Source organism: Homo sapiens, chromosome 9 (assembly GCF_000001405.40).
Source record: "Homo sapiens chromosome 9, GRCh38.p14 Primary Assembly".
NCBI classification, from domain to species: domain Eukaryota; kingdom Metazoa; phylum Chordata; class Mammalia; order Primates; family Hominidae; genus Homo; species Homo sapiens.
Window position 1 is genome coordinate 125260314 of NC_000009.12, and position 25179 is coordinate 125285492.

Consider the following 25179-nt stretch of genomic DNA (forward strand, 5'->3'; position numbering starts at 1 on the left):
GACTACAGGTGCAAGCCACCATGCCTCGCTGATTTTTGTATTTTTTGTAGAGTTGGGGTTTCACTATGTTGCTCAGGCTGGTCTTGAACTTCTGGGCTCAAGCAATCCTCCTGCCTTGGCCTCGCAAAGTGCTAGGATTATAGGCATATGCCACCATGCCCCTAAAGGTGACATCAAGAGAGGTGAGTAGATAGAAAGCAGTTTGGGAGTTGATTGACATTTGAAATAGCTGGGGAAATGATTATTACTTTTTTCCTTTTTTTGCCTGGAGACTCCCAGTATTGGAGGATATAATCATTGTTCTCAATTTTTTGAAGATCTGTCAAGTGGAAGACATTCTGTATTGCTCCAGGCAGCCTAACTACCAGCAATGGAAGGAAATAAAGGGAAACAGATTTCAGCTCAGCAGGAGGCAGAACTTTCTAACATTTAGAGCTGTCCAACAGTGGAGCAGGCTGCATTACTTGAGGGAGTGAGCTCCCTGAAATTTGAACTGTTGAACAGGAAGATGACCATCTGGCTGAATGTACAGGAGGGAATTCCTGCCTGGGCAACAGTTGCACTAGTGACCTTTAAGCAGGTATCTTCCAATTTTAAGGTTTCTAGACTGTTCAACTCAGCTAACTTGACCTCTGAATATATGAGTTATGGTGTTACAAAAATTATTAGACAGTTCATTTATTGACTTACCTAAAATAACTGCATGGTGAAGTTTATGATAAGCAAGATTTTAGAAACTGAGAAGTGGGAAGGCAGGTTTTACACTGAAAATCCAGATACCATCCAAACCAATTAATGGCACTTAGAACAAAAGGGAAGGGAGGGGCCGGCAGCGGTGGCTCACGCCTGTAATCCCAGCACTTTGGGAGGCCGAGGCGGGCGGATCACGAGGTCAGGAGATCGAGACCATCCTGGCTAACACGGTGAAACCTCGTCTCTACTAAAAATCAAAAAATTAGCCGGGCGTGGTGGCGGGCGCTTGTAGTTCCAGCTACTTGGGAGGCTGAGGCGGGAGAATGGCGTGAACCCGGGAGGCGGAGCTTGCAGTGAGCCGAGATTGAGCCACTGCACTCCAGCCTGGGCGACAGAGCCAGACTCCGTCTCGAAAAAAAAAAAAAAAGGGAAGGGAGGTTTGTAAGTAGTGTGTGCGTACGTGTGAGAGAGAAACAGAGAAGAGAGAGAGTCATTCATGCGAATAATGTGTCCTGGGCAACTGAGCGTTGTCACAGAAAGCATAAAACGCTCTACATTTTTGCTTTACACATACTTGCTCAGTCGGATTCTTCACGTCCAGCATTACTGCAGGCGGAAACCAGGGCCCAGGCCTGGTGAACAGCCTTCCGGAAGACGATTCCGGACCCGGACACCCACGACAGCCTCAGGGGGCAGCTGACCTAGGGCTGCCTAAGGCGGAAGTGGGAGCCCCTAGCCGCCCGGGCGGAACTACAGCTCCCAGAGGCCCCCGCGGCGCTGCGCACGCGCGCTGGCGTGGCGGCAGCGCCGCTGCAGGACGCAGGGAAGCCAACAGGCGAGTGGCGAAGGTGGCGGCAGCGGCGGCGGGGGCAGTCACCGGCTAGGGCGACGGCTCCGAGGCCGAGTGGCGGTCCGACAGAGTCCTCCGTGTCCTCCCCCGCATGACCCCCTTGGTGAGTACGCGTCCCGATTTAGTCCGCGGGCTGTGAGCGGCTCCCTGCCTCGCGGCCGGGTTGCTCCGGCCTAGGGCCGCAGCCTGTCTCTGACTGCCCGGCCGTCAGGTCCAACTGACCCCGGGGTCCTGGGCTCTTCCCGTCAGTGTCGGGCGAGGTGGGGGTCGGGGGACACTGGGTTAGACCCAGGGGAGAGATGTGGCGGCGCGCAGGAGCCAGGGCGGCCTGGGGCTGAGGAGAGGGAGAGACGCGTGGGGGATGGGATGGGAAGGGACAGGAGGACCGCGGGGCGGCCTCGGGTGGGGGCCAGAGACGAGAGGCCCGGCAGGTAGGGAACTGAGTATAGGAGGCGAGAACGAAATGGAATGTCTTCTGAGTGTCGCTGATAAAGATATCGTGCTGCAGGGAAGCTTGACAAGCTGGACACACGGGTCTGGGGGCAGCCCACCTAACACAGACACTCACTGTACTTGGCATCTTTCCACTTGCTGTCGGAGGTCTGAAAGTGAGGGAGCTGTTGGTTGTTTCCATCCCTTTTCTTTTAACTTCACCTTTTATTGACTGGCAAAATTGTAGTGAGTGCTGGCTAGGCAAACCACAGAAGTACACCCAGGGTTCTGTGTATAAATGTGCATAAAAACAGGGAGACATAGTGATAGGTTCAGATGAGAACTAGGTCAAAGGAGGAATCAGTGTTTTTATTTTTAAATTTATGACGAAAATCAGTTCTGAGCAGGACTTTGAACTAGAGAGGGGTTTTAAACTGGAGTTCATTGATGGATAGAATTAGAAGGGTCCTTTCACTAGAAGGAGGATAAAATGACATCATTATTTTTATTGACTGCTAACTGAAACTTATTATTTCCTTCAGTTACGAATGTGGACAACAAGCCAGAGTAGCATTAGCAGCGCCTATGACTTTGTGATCAATAAAAATTACGGATATTTTTGCATCATGTTTACAGTTGCAGATAGCTCAGAATATCATTTATGGTTAACACTTCTTTGAATTTCTGGTGTTACTAGACCCGCCGTTAGACATTGTTATTTAATGTGATAATAAGGCTGTACATATATTATGACCATATTAGTTTGTTGTTTTGCTAATATTTCCATATAATTGGTTTCCCTTGTAATCACATGTATTTAATTATGCACTTAAAAGAAATCTGAGAAAGGGACCATAGGCTTCACCAAACTGCCAATGAGGTCCGTGCACAAAAAGATTAAGAACTCCTGAAATAATTTGGGAGGCCGAGGCGGGCGGATCATTGAGGTCAAGAGATCGAGACCATCCTGGCCAACATGGTGAAACCCCATCTCTACTAAAAATACAAAAATTAGTTGGGTGTGGTGGCCCATGCCTGTAATCCCAGCTACTTGGGAGGCTGAGGCAAGAGAATCACTTGAGCCCGGGAGGTGGATATTGCAGTGAGCCAAGATCACGCCACTGCACTCCAGCCTGGCAACAGAGCGAGACTCCGTCTCAAAAAACAAAACAAAACAAAAAAACTCCTGAAATAGAAATAAGGTTTTTTGGATTTATAAGTCTACTTAGAAGAACTGTTGTTTTTTTTTTTTTGGTTGTAAGTTTATTCAATGCAAAAGAATCCTCTCCAATTTTACTGAGGTGGCTGACCACGTCCACGACCAAATCCGTCTCAACTGGAATTTGGCTGCTGACCCAGCCCCAGCCTCAGCTTTCTTGTCGGCACTAAGTGGCACAGCACTCCATCTGTAGGTATGTCTGTCAGCACTCCATCTGTAGGTATGTCTGTCAGCTTCCCCTCTTGTGAGTCTCGCAGGTCACTCACCCTCCAGACCTTTAGGCTGAGGCCTGCCGGTCTCTGGACAGCTATGGCGTAGGGTAGCAGGTACAGTCTCCGGGGGGCAGATGAAGGTAATCCCGGAGATACTGGATACCCTCATTGGTAAGGTACCAGTAGAAATGTCTCCAGGCAAACTGTTCCTTCATGTAGCCTTGAGACTTGAGAGACTGCATGGCCTTCATGACATGAAGGTTGGGCACGTTCTTGTCTGCCAGCTCTGGGTGCTTAGGCATGTGGACATCCTTCTTGGCCACCATGACTCCCTCCTTAAAAAGGAGTTCATAAATGGCAATCTGGTTCTTTAGAAGAACATTTGAATCATTGAAGGCAGACAGGATGACAGTGTAGACGAAAGAGAATTTCATAATCAGGGAGATAAAAAATTTGGATGGGATCAGGGTAGTCTTTTGTTTTGTTTTGTTTTGAGACGGAGTCTGGCTCTGTTGCCTAGGCTGGAGTGCAGTGGCATGATCTCCGCTCACTGCGACCTCAGCTTCCTGGGTTCAAGCGATTCTTGTGCCTCAGCTTCCTGAGTAGCTGGGACTACAGACACCAGCCACCACGCCTGGATAATTTTTATATTTTTAGTAGAGGCAAGGTTTCACCATGTTGGTCAGGCTGGTCTCAAAGTCCTGACCTCAGGTGATCTGCCTGCCTCGGACTCCCAAAGTGCTGGGATTACTGATGTGAGCCACCGCGTCCTGCCCAGAGTAGTCATTTTGAAAGAATAGACCATAGATATTTCATTCAGGGTAATGGGGAATGAACAAAATAATCGGAAGAAGAAAGAAAAGTGAATATGTTGGCCTTTAAATTTTTGTATTAAGGCACCTCCCCACTTCCAAGGGATTGCAGCTCTGTAAGCTCTAATGTAAGCCTGAGAAAAGAAATTTTACTGTTTGCTGGTTTTCTTTAAATCATGGAGGTGGATTTTTTTTTTTTTTTTCTGAGATGGAGTCTCAGGCTGTCGCCCAGGCTGGAGTGCAGTGGCGCGATCTCAGCTCACTGCAAGCTCTGCCTACCGGGTTCATGCCATTCTCCTGCCTCAGCCTCCCAGGTAGCTGGGACTACAGGTGCTGCCACCATGCCTGGCTAATTTTTGTATTTTTAGTAGAAACGGGGTTTCACCATGTTGGTCAGGCTGGCCTCGAACCTCCTGACCTTAAGTGATCTGCCCGCCTTGGCCCCCCAGAGTGCTAGGATTATTGGCGTGAGCCACCGCGCCTGGCCATCTTACATTTTTTAAAAGACAAAAAATTATTTCCCAGCACTATGTTGTGCTTTTGTGAGCATTTGGTTTCATATGGGGACTAATCATTCTTAGTACATGCTGCCATATAGGTTTGATTATTCATCATTTTGTATGAGGTAATAAAAGGGAAAGTCTGTAAGTGAAGTTCTTGTTTTGCTGAGGTTCTTTTACCTTTTACTGTGTGATCCTAGGTTGTTTTATTTCTCTTCATTCTTCTTCCTTCTTTCTTCTTCCTTCTTTTTTTTTGAAACAAGGTCTTGCTGCATTGCCCAGGCTGGACTTGAACTCCTGGACTTGAGTGATCCTCCTGCCTCAGCCTTACCAAGTAGCTAGGACTATAGGTCGGCACCACCACACCTGGCATTGTTTCTTTTTCTGTTCTTCTTTCTGAGAGGGAGTCTTACTTGTCTCCCAGGCTGGAGTGCAGTGGTGTAATCTTGGCTCACTGAAACCTCTGCCTCCCGGGTTCCAGCGATTCTCCTGCCTCAGTCTCCCTCCTGGGCTGGGACTACAGGCGGGTGCCACGATGGCTGGCTAATTTTTGTATTTTTTTGTAGAGACGGGGTTTCACCATATTGGCCAGGCTGGTCTTGAACTCCTGACCTCGTGATCTGCCCACCTCGGCCTCCCATAGTGCTGGGATTACAAGTGTGAGCCACCGCGCCCGGCCAAAAAAAAAATTTCATGTCTGACGATATCAAATGTTGGTGAAGATGTGGCAAAAATGGTAATTTTGAAACTACTGGCCAGGCGTGGTAGCTCATGCCTATAATTTTAGCACTTTTGGAGTTTGAGGGCCACTTGAGTCCTTGAACCCGGGAGTTCAAGACCAGCCTGGGCCTCAAAGTGAGACCCCTGTCTCTATTAAAAAAGAAAAAATTTATAAAAAAAAAAAAAAAAAGAAACTGCTACCGGTTACTGTTAGGAGGAGGAAAAAAAAACTGTTGGTTGAGTGTAAACTGGTATAGCTGCTTTTGAAGACAGTATTTGCAGCCCTTAGTAAAGTTGAAGATAGGCGTACTCTATAATTTCACGTCTATAAGGGATTATGAATGGGAGGTAGTGGCAAAGGGGATGATATCTATAATTTTTTTTTTTTTTTTGAGGTGGAGTTTTGCTCTTGTTGCCCAGGCTGGAGTGCAAATGCGCGATCTCGGCTCACTGCAATCTCCGTCTCCCGGGTTCCAGCATTTCTCCTGCCTCAGCTTCCCGAGCAGCTGGGATTATAGGCATGCACCACTATGCCCGGCTAATTTTTATTTTATTTTATTTTATTTTATTTTTTTTTTTTTAGACGGAGTCTCGCTCTGTCGCCCAGGCTGGAGTGCAGTGGCGTGATCTTGGCTCACTGCAAGCTCTGCCTCCCGAGTTCACGCCATTCTCCTGCCTCAGCCTCCCAAGTAGCTGGGACTACAGGCGCCCGCCACCATGCCCAGCTAATTTTTTGTATTTTCAGTAGAGACGGGGTTTCACCATGTTATCCAGGATGGTCTTGATCTCCTGACCTTGTGATCCACCTGCCTCGGCCTCCCAAAGTGCTGGGATTACAGGCGTGAGCCACCGCGCGCAGCCCGTTATCTATAATTTCTTTTGAGGATATCTATACTTTTTTTTTGAGACTAGACACTACTGTGACAACAGCTAATTCTGGGAGGCAGAATATACGTGCTAAATTATTATTTGTATCTTTCCCTATTTTCTGCTGTTCGTTTTGTTTTTTTCTTTTTGTTTGTTTTTTGAGACAGAGTCTTGCTCTGTGGTCCAGGCTGGAGTGCAGTGGCGCCATCTCAAGTCACTGCAACTTCCCCCTCCTGGGTTCAAGAGATTCTCCTGCCTCAGCCTCCTGAGTAACTGGTACTATGGGCACGTGCCACCACACCTGGCTAATTTTTTGTATTTTTAGTGGAGATGGGGTTTCACCATGTTGGCAAGCCTGGTCTTGAACTCCTGTGATCCGCCTGCCTCGGCCTCCCCAAAGGGCTGGGATTACAGGCATGAGCCACTGTACCCGGCAGGCTTTGTTTTTTTGTAATCCATAACTTCTAAATATTGTTTTTGCAACTCTTTGAAAAATTGTAAGCCTACAGAAGGGTTGTTCAGTAAACATTCATATACCCTTCACCTAGATTTGCTGTTAACATTTTGCCATGTTTACTTTACACATAGAAGATGCACATTTTACTTTGGGAATCCGAGACGGTCAGATTACTTGAGCCTAGGAATTTGAATTTTGAGGCAAGGTCTTGCTCTGTTGTCTAGGTTGGAGTTCAGTTGCGCTATCAGGGATCATTGCAGTCTCGACCTCCTGGGCTCAAGCTGTCCTCCCACTTCAGTCTCCTGAGTAGGTTGGGATGTGCTACCACACCCGGTTAATTAATTTTAGTTTTTTATTTTTTGAGATGGAGTTTCACTCTTGTTGCCCAGGCTGGAGTACAATGGCACAATCTCAGCTCATCGCAGTTTCTGCCTTCTGATTCTCCTGCCTCAGCCTCGCGAGTAGCTGGGATTACAGGCATGTGCCACCATGCCCAGCTAATTTTGTATTTTTAGTAGAGACGGGGTTTCACCATGTTGATCAGGCTGGTCTTGAACTCCTGACCTCAGGTGAACTGCCCGCTTCGGCCTCCCAAAGTGCTGGGATTACAGGGGTGAGCTACCATGCCTGACCAATTAAAAAAAGAATTTTTTTTTTATTGGGAAGACAGGATCTCCCTATGTTCCTCAGGCTGGTCTCAAACTCCTGGGCTCAAGCAATCCTCCCACCTTGACCTCCCAAAGCTTTGGGATTACAGGCGTGAGCCACTATGCCTAGCTGCTAGAATTTAAAATAAACTTTATTCGGCCAGGCACAGTGGCTCACACCTGTGATCCCTGCATTTTGGGAGACCGAGGCGGGTGGATCACCTGAGGTCAGGAGTTTGAGACCAGCCTGGCCGACATGATGAAATCCCATCTCTACTAAAAATACAAAAAATTAGCTGGGCGTGGTGGCTCGCGCCTGTAATCCCAGCTACTCAGGAGGCTGAGGCAGGAGAATCGCTTGAACCCAGGAGGCTGGGGTTGTAGTGAGCCGAGATCACGCCACTGCACTCCAGCTTGAGCAACAAGAACAAAACTCTGTCTCAAAAAAAAACAACAACAAACAAACAAACAACCCCCCCCCCCAAAAAAAAACCAAGAACTTTATTCTACTGGTGCTTTCTTAGCCACCGTCACAATGTTGTCACTTCTCACTTTACGCAGCTGGCTCCACTGAGGGTTTGTGAGCTGGTCTCCAGTGATGGCACATAGTTCTTATTACCTTACATGGTAACACTACCTGATCATGGCGTTCTGGAAATTGTGACAATATGTACTGATCTTTTGTTGGTGCAACTAACAATACAAAAGTTGCTGCTCTGTAAATGTATGCTTCAGTTTCATTAGTTTATTTGGAATAATTACCCCTAACATTGTTTTTTTTTTTTTTTTTTTTTCGAGACAAGGTCTTGGTCTGTCATGCAGGCTGGAGTGCAGTAACGCTATCACAGCTCACTGCAGCCTCCACCTCCCTGTCTCAAGAGATTCCCCTGCCTCAGCCTTCTGAGTAGCTGGGACCACAGGCACATGACACCATGCTTGGCTAACTTGTATTTTGTATTTTATTTTTGTTTGACCAGACGAGTTTTAAATACAAGTTTTGTAGTTTTTGTAGAGGTGCCCACACTGGTCTCAAACTCCTGAGTTCAAGTAGTTCATCTGCCTCGGCCTCCCAAAGTACTGGGATTACAGGCATGAACCACTGCGCCCAGCTACTTGTAATGTTTGTAGGTAGTTTAATAGCGAAAGTAGGTACATTCCAGTGATAAGACATTCAGTTTATTATTTTTTCCTTTTTCCTTTTTTTTTTCTTTAGGGGTAAGTGTACTGGAGAGAGTTGGTTATACATTCTAGGAATCTCAAAGGTAAAGTATGATTTAAAAATATTTTTTTAAAATAATTTTTTTAAGTTTGCCTACAGCTACAAATTTTTAAGTTTTATGTAAGTGGAATCCTTTTTTTTTGAGACATATTCTCACTCTGTCATCAGAGTGCAGTGGTGCCATCATAGCTCACTGAAGCCTCAAACTCCTGGCCTGAACAGGGCGATCCTCCTGCCTCAGCCTCCTGAGTAGCTGGGAATACAGGAGCATGCTACTTTGCCCAGCTGAGTCCTTCTTATTTGCTTTGGACAGACTAGTACTTGAAAAAATAATTTTCAAATGTTTAGTTGAGTGTTTTTTTTTCCTTCAACTTTTGGGAGGCTGTTTTTTTGTCATACATATTTCCTTCTCTGGAGTTAATTTTCTGTTAAGCAAGAAGGATTTCAGTTATGTATTTTTTACACTTGAACTACCTAAACTTGTGCTTGCATAGAATTATTTTCAACTTTAACTCCTTAAGTAATCGTTTTCAGGATATTTTAGTTTTTGTTCTTGTTTTTTTTTTGAGTTGGAGTCTCGTTCTGTCGCCCAGGCTGGAGTGCAGCCTCCCGAGTAGCTGGGATTACAGGTGCTACCATGCCCTGCTCATTTTTTATATTTTTAGTAGAGACAAGGTTTCACCATGTTGGCTAGGCTGGTCTTGAACTCGTGACCTCTGGTGATCCACCCGCTGTGCTGGGATTACAGGCATGAGCTACCATGCCTGGCTTTTTTTTTTTTTTTTTTTTTTTTGGAGGCAGAGTCTCACTCTGTTGCCCAGGCTGGAGTACAGTGGCATGATCTCTGCTTACTGCAACCTCTGCCTTCCAGGTTCAAGTGATTCTCCTGCCTCAGCCTCCCTGGTAGCTGGGATTACAGGTGGCTGCCACCATGTCCAGCTAATTTTTTTTATTTTTAGTAGAGACGGGGTTTTACCATGTTGGCCAGGCTGGTCTTGAACTCCTACTCTCAAGTGATCTGCCCGCCTTGGCCTCTGGAAGTGCTGGGATAGGTGCAAGCCACCATGCTTGGGCAGATGTTTTAATTTGTAAAGGAACTAGGACCAATAATTTTTTTTACTGTATACACATTTTAGAATAAGTTTTAGGCACCTAGCTGTTTGATTTCTGGTAACTAAGATTATAGTCAGTTAAACTTTACTGCTGGCCAGGCATGGTGGCTCATGCCTGTAATCCTAGCACTTTGGGAGGCCGAGGTGGGCGAATCACTTGAGGTCAGGAGTTTGAGTCCAGCCTGGCCAACATGGAGAAACCCCGTCTCTACTAAAAATACAAAAATTAGCTGGGTGTGGTGGCGCACACCTGTAGTCCCAGCTACTTGGGAGGCTGAGGCAGGAGAATTGCTTGAACCTGGGAGGCAGAGTTTGCAGTGAGCTGAGATTGTGCCCCTGCACTCCAGCCTGGGTGACAGAGCTAGAGTCTGTCTCAAAAAAACAAAAACAAAAGAATCTTTCCTTCTTTATGCTTACCTATATTTTCTAACTTTTCTGGATATGTTTCAATATGTATTATGATTTTGTAAAAAATTTCAGAAGGGTGGTTATTTTTTGTTTCAAAGCTGAAACCCAGTTTAAAACTCTAATACAGTGGTCAGAGGAAGTGGTGAATATCTTGATACTTCAGTTTCTAATATTTAATATATATATAAGTGAATGGTTGAGGCCGGGCGCAGTGGCTCACGCCTGTAATCCCAGCACTTTGGGAGGCTGAGGCGGGTGGATCACCTGAGGTCAGGAGTTTGAGACCAGCGTGACCAACATGGAGAAACCCCGTTTCTGGTAAAAGTACAAAATTAGCCAGGTGTAGTGGCACATGCCTGTAATCCCAGCTACTCAGGAGGCTGAGGCAGGAGAATCGCTTGAACCTGGGAGTGGGAGGCAGAGGTTGCGATGAGCCGAGATCGTGCCATTGCACTCCAGCCTGGGCAACAAGAGCGAAACTCCATCTCAAAAAATAAAAAAGAATGGTTGAGTGAAGGACTTAACAGACTACATAGGGGTTTCTATAAATTTTTTTTTTTGAGTTTGAAGATGAACCAGATACCTGATAAATGCTTGTGTCTGAAAGAAAAGTATAAAAGTATAATTTAATTCTAATACTCTTTGTGTGTGTGTGTGGCCAAAATTATGTTTTTGTATACCTTTTTTTGTAAGCCATTTAAAAAATACAGGCTTTAAACATACTCTTGGAAGTGTATAAACAGATACTGTGTCTGCTTGTTAATCTAAGATGTCTGTCCGAAAAGGTGCTTGCTTGGTCTTGCTCCCTTATAATGCCGGTACACCCACGCTGGAGACTAGTAGAAAGCATGTTGTCAGACGTGTTTAGTTCTTTTTTTTTTCCTTACCAACTTATGTGTTGTTATTTATTTTCTGTGAATCTTTGGAAGGATTAAACCCACGTGGTTTTTCTATCAGAAAAAAGACAAAACAAAATTAGTCAAGGCATATTAGTCTTTTTCCTTTTTCCTAGGATCAGAGTGTAGTAATATCCTGCCAATCTTAATTTTAACAAATACTTATATTTTTCGGACTTAGATTAACTTATTTTTTTATTTTTTATTTTTTGAGACAGACTCTTGCTCTCTTGCCCAGGCTGGAGTCCAGTGACCTGATCTTGGCTCACTGCAACCTCTGCCTCCCGGGTTCAAGCGATTCTCCTGCCTCAGCCTCCCGAGTAGCTGGGATTACAGGCACCCACCACCACACCTGGCTAATTTTTGTATTTTTAGTAGAGACGTTGTTTCACCGTGTTAGCCGTGCTAGTCTTGAACTCCTGACCTCAAGTGATCCACCTGCCTCGAGTGCTGGGCTTACCCACCGCACCTGGCCCTCCTTTCACTTTCTAATGCAGAATTCTAATCTATCCCTTTGTTTTACTTGTGTTATTTATATTTACTTACTTCCATTATCTTGGCTACTTTACAAAAATGCATTAGGTCTAAAAGTTATAACATTTAAGGCTGAATTGCCAAATGTTTAAAAATATAGATTTCTGTACCAGAAAAACTTTGGAAAAACTACATTAATTCTTTTTTTTTGAGATGGAGTTTCACTCTGTCTCCCAGGCTGAAGTGCAGTGGCATGATCTCGGCTCACTTCAACCTCTGCTGCCTGAGTTCAAGCGATTCTCCTGCCTCAGCCACCTGAGTAGCTGGGATTACAGGCGCCTGCCACCCTGCCTGGCTAATTTCTGTATTTTTAATAGAGAAGGGGTTTCACCATCTTGGCCAGGCTGGTCTTGAACTCCTGACCTCGTGATCCACCCGCCTCGGCCTCCCAAAGTGCTGGGATTACAGGCGTGAACCTCCGCGCCCAGCCAAAAATACATTAATTCTTTATGCAGAGATGATTTCATCTTTACTAACTCCTTTGGAACCCGAGGAATCTAACTTTGATTCCTCTAAAACAAAGTCCTTTTAATATCTAACTATTGCAGGTTGTGATAGGCCAACTTGGATTCTGACAAAGTAACTTCTTATTAAGGCCTCTCTATGAATAAGTTTCTGTTCCTTAGTTTGAAAACATTACCATGATAATAGTAATGGTAATAGCTGACATTTATTGGATTCGTTCTCTTTTTCTTAGGCATTATGCACATTATTTGAAATTATGAATTCCATAATTCTATAGAGACATCTTAATGATTGATTTCTTTTTGAAAACCTATTTTAACAAACTGGATAATATTGTTGACTAGGAGGTTTCTTTTGGGTAGAACCACAGTAATGATGGTAACGCTGTTTGGAGTTTGATAATGAATATGTATACTTTTTATGAAACACCACTCTGGTAAATGTGATGAAATGTACATGACAGCCCTCTGTTTACATTCTTTAATTTTGAGGGTGGACTCTTGGATCTTGAAACAGGCTTTACCAGTATTACAGCTCAGCAAAAATGCAGCTGAGGCTCAAAGTTCTCTTTCTGCTCCTTCATTCGGTTGTTTTGTGTACCCGCTGTATTTATGGAAGCAGCTTAGTTTATCCAGGGAACCAAAGCTTCCTCAAAGCATGGGGGTTGTGAAAACTTCCTCTAAGTTTACAGTGTTCTAAGGATTTCAGATTGTTCTTAGTTACTTGGTTTATCTTGATCTCCAGATTTATATATATCTTACTGAGTTGTCATTAGAGATTGTTAAATTAGATTTGGTGGTATTTAATTTCACACTCATACAATTAATGGAGGTTTATCTAATTGTGAAAGTTCCAGATAGGCACCCATTTCTAGATTGGTTGGATACTTCTATGTTATTTGCTTCCTCTGGGAAATAATGGGGTATAATTTTAATGCCATTGCAGTTCTGCTTATTAGTGTGCAGCTTGTTATTGTTGAACTATGTCTTATTTTGAAGTTTAGTACTATGCCCTTTTTGTGGCACTTAAAAATTTTCTCATTTTTACAGAATTTGTCTTGTCTTGAGTGTTTCAGTAATTGCACTAGTAGGTCTTCAGCAGGGAAGAGCTTGGTGCCAAATTTTTATTGTTTTTCTTTTCTTTTTTTTTTTTTTTAATTCTTCAGCTAAGACTGCAGAAGAGGTGATTTATTGTATGGATGTTATACTTGGCCACAAGGAAACACAGAAATAGTGCAGAATGTCACAGGTCCAGGGCAGAGGACCAACATGGGCAGTTTTTGTTATGAGCGAGGTGGGTCTCAGGTGATCGGTGATCAGAGGGCGATGAAGTTCTAGATCCATTGAGACAAGCTCTAGACAGTAGCATGCAGTCCCACAACTTGTACCAGCATCCCCAGCATCTGGCATTCCATGTTTCTGCTCCTGTGGCCTCCACGGTGCAACAAGCTAGTGGTTTTCTTGGACCTCTGCCTTATCTTTCTTCTTTTGCGTATTCACTTCTTCCTCCACTTGGCTGTCATGGCACAGAGGTTTCCAAGAAAATGGCGCTAAGGCTGAGAGCTCTTTTCTTTTTTTTAAAAAAAAATTACTAAAGTAATAAATATTCTTTGTTTTTTATTTTTATTTTTATTTATTTATTATTATTATTATCTTGAGATGGAGTAGTGCTCCGTCACTTGAGCTCAGGAGCCTGCACTTGGCCAGGCTGGAGTGCAGTGGCGCAATCTTGGCTCACTGCAACCTCTGCCTCCCCGGTTCAAGCGATTTTCCTGCCTCAGCCTCCCAAGTAGCTGTGATTACAGGCTAACGCCACCACGTCCAGCTAATTTTTGTATTTTTAGTAGAGACGGGGTTTCACCATGTTGGCGAGCCTGGTCTTGAACTCCTGACCTAAAGTGATCTGCCGGCCTCGGCCTCTCAAAGTGTTGGGATTACAGGTGTGAGCCACTATCCTGGGCCTGTTCTTTGTTTTTTTAAAAAAAACTAAAAACAATGGAAAAAAAATGAAGGGTTTTCTTTCTCACATATGCATGCACTTACCATTTGATTTGAATTATTTTCCCCCAAAATTATAGTTAACATTATATATAATAAGCGCTTTGTACTTTTTTTTTTTTTTTTTGAGTTGGAGTTTCACTCTTGTTGCCCAGGCTGGAGTGCAATGGTGCAATCTCGGCTCACTGCAACCTCTGCCTCCCGGGTTCAAGCGATTCTCCTGCCTCAGCCTCCCGAGTAGCTGGGATTACAGGCATGCACCACCACGCCTGGCTAATTTTGTATTTTTAGTAGAGACGGGTTTCTCTGTGTTGGTCAGGCTGGTCTTGAACCCCCAACCTAAGGTAATCCACCCACCTTGGCCTCCCAAAGTGCTGGGATTATAGGCGTGAGCCACTGTGCCTGGCCGCTTTATTCATTTTAATTCATTTAACTTTCAAAAGCCTGTGAACATACCCTATGAAGTAGGTTCTGGTGTATGTGTTTGCAGATGAAGAAACTGAGTCATAGAGAAGTAAAGTAACTAGCCAAAGATTGCACAGCTAGGGAGTGGCAAACCTGAGACTTGAGCCCAGGTACTCTTGCTCCAGCGTTTAACTCCTAGACTGCCTCCGGGATCTTAGGCATATTGTTCTGCAGTTTGCTCTTTTCGCTTAATGATGTCTGATGGACATCTTTCTTTTTTGTTGTTGTTGCTGTTTTTCGTTTTAATTTTTTTCAATTTTTAAATTAAAAAAAATTTTTCTTTGAGACATCTTGTCACCCAGGCTGGAGTGTAATAGTGTGATCTCGGCTCACTGCAACCTCTGCCTCCTGGCTTCAAGTGATTCTTCTGCCTCAGCCTCCCAAGTACCTTGGATTACAGGCGCCTGCCACCATGCCCGGATAATTTTTATATTTTTAGTAGAGACGGGGTTTCACTATGTTGGCCAGGCTGGTCTTGAACTCCTGACCTCAGGTGATCCACCCACCTGGGCCTCCCAAAATGCTGGGATTACAGGCGTAAGCCACCACACCCAACCTAAATTGTTTATTTTTTTGATGGACATCTTTCTACATGGTTTGAGTGTACCATTACTTATTTAACTTAATGCCTTTCAAACTTAATCTTGTTGCCAGGCATGGTGACTCAGGCCTATAGTCCCAGCACTTTGGGAGACCAAGGTGGGTGGATTGCTTGAGCCCAGGAGTTTGAGGCCAGCCTGGCCAACATGGCAAAACCCTGTTTCTGCAAAAAATACAAGAGTTAGTTGGGCATGGTGGCACATACGTGTAGTCCCAGCTGCTCGGTGGGAGGCTGAGGAGGTAGGACGATCACCTGAACCCGAGGAGGTTGAGGTTGCAGTAAGCTGTGATCTAGCCACTGCACTCTAGCCTGGGGGACAGAGCGAGACTCTTTCTCAAAAGAAAAAATAAAAAGACAATCTTGTTTAACATTGCCAATTTCATTAGTAATGATTTCAAGTTATATAAAAAGTCAAGGTTTTTGAATTGGAATAGTCATGGAACATTAGTATTTCCTAAGTAATGCATATTAGCTATTCATGTGTATTGATATTGTCTCAGTTGAGTTGTATAATAAAATCCGAGCTTAACCCACAAACCATTTATTACGAATGAGTTTAATTATTTTTGTAGTTATTCTGTCTTCTTTAGCTCTGGAAAATTAGTGTATTGAGGGTAAAATCAATAATCTGTTTGGATTTCGTTTACTTTTGACATCTTCCAGAATTCTGTTGTCGTCACAAGAAGTCTGTTGTGTTGATTTGAACTGTGAATACTATCTGACATTATATTACCTGTATTTTCAAAGTAATTTGCCTTTCAATTCCTTGTACTTGTGCCAGGCAGCGTTAGTTGGTAGTAAGCCCATTCTTTTTTCTACAATGTTTCACTCTTGCTTCAAATATACCAACTATTCTGTAGGCCAGAGTTCAAAACAAAACAAAACATACGAAAAACCAAATAATACTGACTAAAGATACTAAAATGTCACTTGTTTCAAATTTTTTCTCATTTAATATTTACTGCCTAATTTTGAAGAAATATCTTTCCAGTCTTTAATAAAAATGTTACACCTGTAATCCCAGCACTTTGGGATTACACAGGCGGATCACTTGAGCTCAGGAGTTTGAGACCAGCCTGAGCAACATGGTGAAACCCCATCTCTACAAAAAATACAAAAATTAGCTGAGCGTGATGGTGTACGCCTGTAGTCCCAGCTACTCAGTACGCTGAGGCAGGAGGATTGCTTGAGCCTGGGAGGCGGAGGTTGCAGTGAGCCGAGAGTGCACCATTGCACTCTAGCCTGGAGAACAGAGTGAGACCCTGTCTCAAAACACACAAAGAAATTTCAGATATGCTCATTGGAATGTGAGAAGATATTTTCAACTAAATTTAGTTGCAGGTTTTTTTGTTTTGTTTTGAGACAGGGCCTCGCTCTTGCCTGAGATGAAGAGCAGTGGGACCATCATAGCTCACAGCAGCCTCAAACTCATGGGCTCAAGCAGTGTTCTCATATCAGCCTCCTGAGAACCTAGGACTACAGGTGCATGCCACCACGCCTAGCTAATTTTCTAAATTTTTTTTTCGTAAATATGGAGTCTCCCTATGTTGTCCAGGCTGGTCTTTTGAATTCCTGGCCTCAGGCGATCCTCCCACTTTGGCCTCCCAAAGTGCTGTGATTATAGGTGTGAGCTACCATGCCCAGCCTTAATTACAGTTTTCTAATAATGTTTTCTAATAATTTTGGAACTAAGTAGCAGCTTGACTGATTCCTAATTGGAGCATTGCTCTTTATCAGTCAGTCATTTTTAAAATTAATTATAAATTCAAACATTCATTCAGCACCTGCTAAATGCCAGTCACTGTGCTAAGTAATGGGGATACCGGCATGACAATGTCCTTACTTCAGGGAACTTGGAGTTTTGTTGTAAAAACAACATTTTGTTGCAGACAATGTAAAGTGCTGTGGGAGAGATGAACCCAAATGAGGAAATATCTGAGTCAAGGGACTGTACTTGGTTTGAGCTACACCCTGATACCTAAGTGTGATTTAACTGGCCAATGAAAGGAGTGGACACAGGGCTCTAAAAACAGAATGTATAGAAGTGTAGTTTGTGAAAACTAGTAGAAATTGTCACTGGAAAGTCATGTATCCCTAATATATTGTGTATCCTTCAGTATCCCTAAGGTAATATGCCCTCCATCAAGATCAGACCTTGCCTGTCTTGTTCATCAGTGCTTAGCACATAGGAGGTATTTAATAATTAACATCTGTTGAATGAATGAGTGAAGGAAGTGTGTTAAGTAAAGCATACTATGCTTGTCTGTTTTTTTTTTTTTTTTGAGACAGGGTCTTGCTTTGTCTCCTAGGCTGGAGTACAGCTTACTGCAGCCTTGACCTCCCAGGCTCAAGCAGTCCTCCTACCTCAGCCTCCCAAGTACCTGGGACTTCAGGTGCATGCCACACCCAGCTAATTTTTAAATTTTTTTATAGAAACAGAGTCTCACTATGTTGCCCAGGCTGGTCTTGAACTACTGTACTCAAGTGATCCTCCTGCCTCAGCCTCCCGAAGTGTTGGGATTATAAGCGTGAGCCACTGTACCTGAACTTGTCAATTTTTTGGAACGAGAATGAACCCATTATTTTAGTATATTATTAATGCCTGACAATTTTTAGATCATGTAATTTCACAAAACATAAAATGAGCAAGAAACTGCTCCTGCACTGAAGGGAGTAAGTTCTGTAAGGAGAAGTAAATGTAAATAAATCGTCGTGATTCAACATGATATTTGTAAAAAATATTTGCAAGAGACACTCATCTATTGTATGGATTGGTTAAGTCCCTGAAAAGTGGTGGATAATTTAAAATGCTCACATTAGGCTGGGTGCGGTGGCTTATGGCTGTAATCCCAGCACTTTGGGAGGCCTAGTCCGGCGGATCACCTGAGGCCAGGAGTTGGAGACCAGTCTGGCCAACATGGTGAAACCCTGTCTCTACTAAAAATACAAAAATTAGCCGGACGTGGTAGTGGGTGCTGGTAATCCCAGGTACTCGGGAGGCTGAGGCAGGAGAATCACTTGAACCTGGGAGGCGGAGGTTGCAGTGAGCCAAGATCATGCCACTACCCTCCAGCCTGGGCGACAGAGCGAGACTCCATCTCAAAACAAATAAATAAGTAAAATGTTCACATTAGGCCAGGCAAGGTGGTTCATGCCTGTAATCCCAGCACTTTGGGAGGCCGAGGCAGAAAGATTGCTTGAGCTCAGGAGTTCGAGACCAGTCTGGGCAATGTGGTGAAACCTCATCTCTACACAAAATACAAACATTAGCTGGATGCGGTAGTACATGCTTGTAGTCCCAGCTGCTTGGGAGGCTGAAGTGGGAAGATTGCTTGAGCTTGGGACATCAAGGCTGCAGTGAGCCATTATCATGCCACAGTACTCCAGCCTGGGTGACAGAGCAAGATGCTGTCTGGAAAAAAAAAAACAACAAAACTCACATTAAAATTATTTGATTGATAAAATGCAAGGGATAACATTATAGCAGGTCATTTTAAAAATGGCAGTCATGGCTGGGCACAGTGACTCATGCCTGTAATCCTAGCACTTTGGGAGGCCCAGGAGGGCAGATCATCTGAGGTCAGGAGTTTGAGACCAGCCTGGCCAATATGGTGAAACCCCGTATCTACTGAAAATACAGAAATTAGCCAGGTGTGGTGGTGGGTGCCTGTAATCCCAGCTACTCAAGAGGCTGAAGCAGGGTAATCACTGGAACCTGGGAGGCAGAGGCTGCAGTGAGCCGAGATCACACCACTGCACTCGTCTGGGAGACAGAACAAGACTCCATCTTAAAAAAAAAAAAAAAAGACAGTCATGTACTCTTTTGCCCTATTACATTAATGTGAATATTACATAAATACTATGAGGAAGGCCGGCCGCAATGGCTCACGCCTGTAATCGCAGCACCTTGGGAAGCTGAGGCAGGTGGATCACTTGAGGTCAGGAGTTTGAGAACAGCCTGGCCAAATGGTGAAACCCTGTCTCTACAAAAATACAAAAAAATTATCTGGGTGTGGTGGCACACGCCTGTAATCCCAGCTACTATGGAGGCTGAGACAGGAGAATCACTTGAACCCAGGAGGCGGAGGTTGCAGTGAGCCGAGATCGTGCCATTGTACTCCAGCCTAGGCGACAGAGTGAGACTTCATCTCAAAAAAAAAAAAAAAAATTAAAAATCAAAAATAAAAAAAAAACACTGAGGAAAAGTATGTGCACAATAAAAAAAAATAGTTCTGCCAAAGTGTAGGCATCGGTATATAAAAATCTTTCCCATACATAATCTTCAGATAACATCATGGTTTTTCCCAAATGTGCTTACTATTTGAACTATTATTTATTCAGTGACTTTTTTTTTTTTTTGATACGGAGTCTTGGTGCGATGTTCAGGCTGGAGTACAATGGCGAGATCTTGGCTCCCTGCAACCTATGCTTCCTGAGTTCAAGCGATTCTTCTGCCTCAGCCTCCTGAGTAGTTGGGATTACAGGTACGCACCACCATGCCTGGCTCATTTTTGTATTTTTAGTAGAGATGGGGGTTTCACCATGTTGGCCAGGCTGGTCTTGAACTCCCGACGTCAGGTGATCCACTCAACCTCGGCCTCCCAAAGTGCTGGGATTACAGGCGTGAGCCGCTGCGCTGGCCAAAACATAGTTATTACAACTATTTCAGGAATGTTATATAGAATAAATGAGAAGAGCCGGGCACAGTGGCTCACGCCTGTAATCCCAGCACTTTGGGACTCCAAGGCGGGTGGCTCACCTGAGGTCAGGAGTTCAAGACCAGCCTGACCAACATGGAGAAACCCCGTCTCCACTAAAAATACAAAATCAGTCAGGCATGGTGGTGCATGCCTGTAATCCCAGCTACTTGGGAGGCTGAGGCAGGAGAATCGCTTGAACCCAGGAGGCGGAGGTTGTGGTGAGCCGAGATTGCGCCATTGCGCTCCAGCTTGGGCAACAAGAGCAAAAGTCCATCTCAAAAAAAAAAAAAAAAAAAAAAAAGAATAAATGAGACCATCCATGAAAAGCCCGTAGTTGGTGTCTAGCACCTGGCAGGCCTGAAATGTGTGGTAGTTATTACTGTTTTTATTTCCTAAGCACCCTTATTCTTTACTGCTGATCAGTTAAAACTCTTCAAGCTCAACTGTTACTACTACTTTTTTTTTTTTTTTTTTGAGTCAGAGTCTCACTGTGTTGTCCAGACTGGAGTGCAGTGGCGCAATCTTGGCTCACTGCAAACTCCGCCTCCTGGGTTCACGCCATTCTCCCACCTCAGCCTCTCGAGTGACTGGGATTACATGCGCCTGCCACCACGCCCAGCTAATTTTTTGTATTTTTAGTAGAGATGGGGTTTCACTGTGTTAGCCAGGATGGTGTCAATCTCCTGACCTTGTGATCCGCCTGTCTCGGCCTTCCAAAGTGCTGGGATTACAGGCGTGAGTCAACGTGCCCAGCCAACTGTTACTACTTCTAATAACCTAAAAAAAGATTTGCTATTAGGTGGAAGTCAATATAAAAAGTAGCTTTTCTTAAACTATTCTGGCTGGAAAATATATTTCCTTTGCTTCGATTGATCAGAAATTAGTGCAAATGTAATATAGCTATGGAAATTTTGTTTCATGAAGTTTCTGTGTTTCATTTGTGATCACAGTGAACTGAAAGAAAAAATATTTTTAGTGTGATAAACACCATAATGTGTTAACAGATGTTAATGGGTTCTGGAATGTCATATGGGAGCCGTTCCCTTTTCTAGGCCGTGGTGGTTAGAGATTGTGATAATTACAGTGTTCGAATACTGCTCTCAAGTTTGTATAATTTTTTTTACTGAAAAAAGTTGCTAACTCAGATACTTGAATTTAGAAGTATATTATTTGTTTAATTTAAAAGGTAGACTTAAATTTTTTTTATTTTTGTAGAGAACAGTCTTGCTATATTGTTCAGGCTGGTTATGAACTCCTGACCTCAAGCAGTCCTCCTGCCTCAGCCTCCCAAAGTGCTGGGATCACAGGTGGGAGCCACTGTGCCCAACCTAGAGTTTATTTTTTAGATCAATTTTAGCTTTACAGAAAAATTGAGATGATGGTACAGAGACAGCATCAAGATCAATTCTTCATATTATTAACATCTTATATTAGCATAGTACATTTGTTTCAATTATGACAGTTTGTTACAATATTGTGAACTAATATTGATACATTATCATTAAATAAGGTTCATACTTTGTTCCAATTTCCTCAGTTTTTACCTAGTGTCCTTTTTCTGTTCAGGATCCCATTCAGCATACTATATTACATTTAGATGTTATTGTGTAATTTTTAATTAGATTGTCTTGAATTAGATACATTAATGTATGTGTGTGGATGAAGCACACTATATTACTCATAATGCTCTTAAAGATAATTGGCTTTTTTTTTTTGATGGAGTCTCGCTCTGTCACCCAGGCTGGAATACAGTGGTGGGATCTGGGCTCACTGCAATCTCTGCCTCCTCGCTGGTTCAAGCGATTCTTCTGCCTCAGCCTCCCAAGTAGCTGGGATTACAATAGGCACCTGCCGCTACACCTGGCTAATTTTTAAAAAATTTTAATTTTAGTGGCTCATGCCTGTAATCCCAACACTTTGGAACGCCAAGGTGGGCGGATCACAAGATCAAGAGATTGAGACCATCCTGGCCAACGTGGTGAAACCCCGTCTCTACCAAAAATACAAAAATTAGCTGGGCATAGTGGCGTATGCCTGTAGTCCCAGCTACTCGGGAGGCTGAGGCAGGAGAATCACTTGAACCCAGGAGGCGGAGGTTGCAGTGAGCTGAGATCACGCCACTGCACTCCAGCCTGGCAACAGAGCGAGACTCCGTCTCAAAAAATAAAATAAATAAAAAGTTTTAATTTTTATTTTTAGTAAAAACGGGGTTTCACCATGTTGGTCAGGCTGGTCTTGAACTCCTGGCCTCAAGCAATCCACCTGCCTTGGCGTCCCAAAGTGGTGGGATTACAAGCATGAGCCACCACTCCTGGCCTGATAGTCGGCTTTTACTTTTACTTTTAGTTAAGTCTTTTACACATGTAGGTTTCATAATGTTAGCAGGTAGTCTGTTTTACCTCTTTAGTTACGACTTTGATATTTCCCACTTACTTTGATGAAAAGGTCATTTTGGTCAATTTTGTTATGTGATGGATATGGCGTCTTGTCTCATTGCCCCTAGGAAATGATAAAAAGTTACCCTACCTTTTAATTGATAAGAATAATGATATCCTACACTCTGCAGCAATTTATACTTTAGTTATCTTACAGTATACCATCTGAGATAGATAAGGGCATCATCCCAATTTTGAAGATGAGGAAATAAACTTTGGTGAAGTGCCTAGCCACAAGTCACGTTGCCAATAGGTGTCAGAGTTCAGTCTTAAATTCATCAGATCTTCTGATTCCAGTTTTAGTATTCTTTCGCCTATGTTAATTAAAATAGTCTTTGTAGAAATTAAGAAAGTAGGAAATGGTCTTTTTTTAATGACTTTCTAACAACATTATTTCTGAAATTATTGGGTTAATAAAGAGGTGATTCATTTGTTTACCTGAATTCTAGCTGTTACTTAAAGTTTATTTTTATTTTTATTTATTTATTTATTTATTTATTTATTTATTTATTTATTTATGTTTGAGAGGGAGTTTTGCTCTGTCGCCCAGGCTGGAGTGCAATGGCGTGATCTTGGCTCACCACAGCCTCCGCCTCCCAGGTTCAAGCAATTCTCCTGCCTCAGCCTTCTGAGTAGCTGGGATTACAGGCATGCACCACCACACCCAGCTAATTTTGTATTTTTAGTCGAGACTGGGTTTCACCATGTTGGTCAGGCTGGTCTCGAACTCCTGACCTCAGATGATCCATCCACCTCGGCCTCCCAAAGTGCTGGGATTACAGGTGTGAGCCACCGCACCCAGCTTATTATTTTTATTTTTTAGACAGGGTCGTGCTGTGTTGCCCAGGCTGAAGTGCAGTGTGGCGCAGTCTTGGCTCACTGCAGCCTTGACATCCCCGGCTCAAGTGATCCTCTGCCTTCAGCCTCTGGAATAGCTGACACCACAGGCGTACATCCCTCCACCTGGCTATTTATTATTATTATTATTTGTAGAGATGGGGTCTCCCTGTATTGACCAGGCTGGTCCCAAACTCCTGGGCTCAAGTGGTCCTCTCACCTTGGCCTCCTGAAGTGTTGGGATTATAGGTCTGAGACACCACACCTGGCCTTACTTTGAGTTTTGAATTGCTAGATACATATCATTAATTTGGGATACCATTAATTAGAAATTCTCAATAGCAAAAACTTGAAATGTGATTCTTATCCCATAAAAAGTTGGAAATATTTTTTTTCCTACCTTAGAGACCTTCTCTTTAGTCAGAGGAGTTCATTTAGATATAGTTGTTAACATTTGTAATATATGTATTTTCCTTGAAACTTTTTTTTTTCTTTTTTTGATATGGAGTCTCGCTCTGTCACCCAGGCTGGAGTGCAGTGGCATGATCTCAGCTCACTGCAGCCTCTGCCTCCCGGGTTCAAGTGATTCTCCTGCGTCAGGCTTCCCAAGTAGCCAGGACTACAGGTACGTGCCACCATGCCTGGCTAATTTTTTTGAATTTTTAGTAGAGATGGGGTTTTGCCATGTTGGCCAGGCTGGTCTTGAACTCCTGACCTCAAGTGATCCACCCGCCTTGGCCTCCCAAAGTGCTGGGATTACAGGCGTGAGTCACTGAGCCCCGCCAGAACTTTTTTTTTTTTTTTTTTTTTGAGATGGAGACTCACTCTTGACACCCAGGCCGAAGTGCAGTGGTGCGATCTCAGCTTGCTGGAACTTCCACCTCCCAGGTTCAAGCAGTTCTCCTGCCTTAACCTCCTGAGTAGCTGGTGGTGCACACCACCATGCCCAGCTAATTTTTTGTATTTTTAGTAGAGATGGGATTTCACCATGCTGGCCAGGGTGGTCTCGATCTCCTGACCTCATGATCCGCTCACCTCGGCTTCCCAAAGTGCTGGGATTACAGGCGTGAGCCACCGCGCCTGGCAACTTTTTTTTTTTTTAAAGAGACAGGGTCTCGTTATGTTGCCCAGGCTGTTCTCGAACTCCTGGCCTCAAGTGATCCTCCCTCCTCAGCCTCCCAAAGCACTGACTGACAGGCTTGAGACACCACACCTCTGGCCTCCTTCAGAATTTTAATGTGCAGTCATGGGTCCTTAATGAGAGGGATACATTCTGAGAAATGTGTCATTAGGCAGTGTCATTGTGTAAACATTATAGAGTGTGTTTACACAAACTTAGGTGGCATAGTCCCCTACTCTCCTAAGCTATATGGCATAGCCTATTTTCTTCTGGGCTACAAACCTGTATAGCATGTTACTGTACTGAATACTCTAGGCAATTATAACATAATAGTAAGTGTTTGTGTATCTAAACAAGAAAAATAGTACAGTAAGAATATTGTATAAAAGCTCCATTATAATCTCATGGGCCCACTGGAGTTTCACCATGGTTGACTGAAAGGTCTTTATGTGGCGCATGACTGTATTTTGTAATTCATAAATTTCACCTTATCGGACAGTGCCTCCTCTCTGTGCTTTGCGTTAGAGTAGATATGCTTGCTTATCAGGGGTTGGCAGAGTTTTTCTGTGAAGGGCTAGATAGCAGATATTTTGGACTTGTGGGCCACATGGACTGTGGAGGACTCTGGCAACTATTCAGCTCTGCCATTGTGGCATGAAACCAGCCATAGATAATATATAAACAAGTGAGTATGGCTTCATTCCAATACAACTTTTATTTATACAAACAGGCAGCAGGCTAAATATGACCTGAAAGTCATATTTTGCTGGCCCCTCCTCTATACCATTATGGAAAGATATAGAAATCCAGTGTGCTTCACTCTTGCCACTAAAATCTCCTTACTGTGCTCTCAGTGATAAGTGTTAAAACATGAGTTGAAAAACTTGAACTTCTCAAAATCTGATTAATATGCATGGGCATAATCTATTTCTTTTTTCTTTGTTTTTTTTTTTTTTTTTTTTTTGAGGTAGAGTCTTCCTC

The 25179-nt window shown here is 43.6% G+C and overlaps 1 protein-coding gene and 1 pseudogene across 57 annotated transcripts in view, besides 4 other annotated features; one reads left to right on the forward strand and one right to left on the reverse strand.

The window, feature by feature from the left end:
- Window positions 1410-1591: a silencer, noted in NCBI's record as "fragment chr9:128024002-128024183 (GRCh37/hg19 assembly coordinates)". NCBI's record gives its function as "represses an EF-1alpha promoter that drives an FKBP-Casp9 reporter gene in an ReSE screen in K562 erythroleukemia cells {active_cell/tissue: K562}" and the evidence as "EXISTENCE:reporter gene assay evidence [ECO:0000049][PMID:32094911]".
- Window positions 1410-1659: a biological region, named in NCBI's record as "ReSE screen-validated silencer GRCh37_chr9:128024002-128024183".
- GAPVD1 (GTPase activating protein and VPS9 domains 1) overlaps window positions 1513-25179 on the forward strand; it is a 105382-nt gene continuing 81715 nt past the window's right edge. For 23 of the 57 annotated variants that reach the window (NR_148733.2, XM_047423177.1, NM_001354301.2 and 20 more), the window contains exons 1-2: window positions 1513-1646; window positions 8623-8671. The gene's annotated coding sequence lies outside the window, so the exon portion shown is untranslated. Of the gene's footprint in view, window positions 1648-3237; window positions 3388-8622; window positions 8672-25179 lie in introns of all 57 variants that reach the window. The other 34 variants (NR_148732.2, XM_047423182.1, XM_047423193.1 and 31 more) reach the window with 4 other exon arrangements.
- Window positions 1530-1659: a silencer, noted in NCBI's record as "silent region_20276". NCBI's record gives its function as "represses an Ori minimal core promoter by ATAC-STARR-seq in GM12878 lymphoblastoid cells {active_cell/tissue: GM12878}" and the evidence as "EXISTENCE:reporter gene assay evidence [ECO:0000049][PMID:35858748]".
- RPS10P17 (ribosomal protein S10 pseudogene 17) lies at window positions 3223-3788 on the reverse strand (annotated as a pseudogene).
- Window positions 7389-7889: an enhancer, noted in NCBI's record as "H3K27ac hESC enhancer chr9:128029981-128030481 (GRCh37/hg19 assembly coordinates)". NCBI's record gives its function as "activates a minimal SCP1, AML or CMV promoter by ChIP-STARR-seq in naive H9 embryonic stem cells {active_cell/tissue: H9 hESC(naive)}" and the evidence as "EXISTENCE:reporter gene assay evidence [ECO:0000049][PMID:30033119]".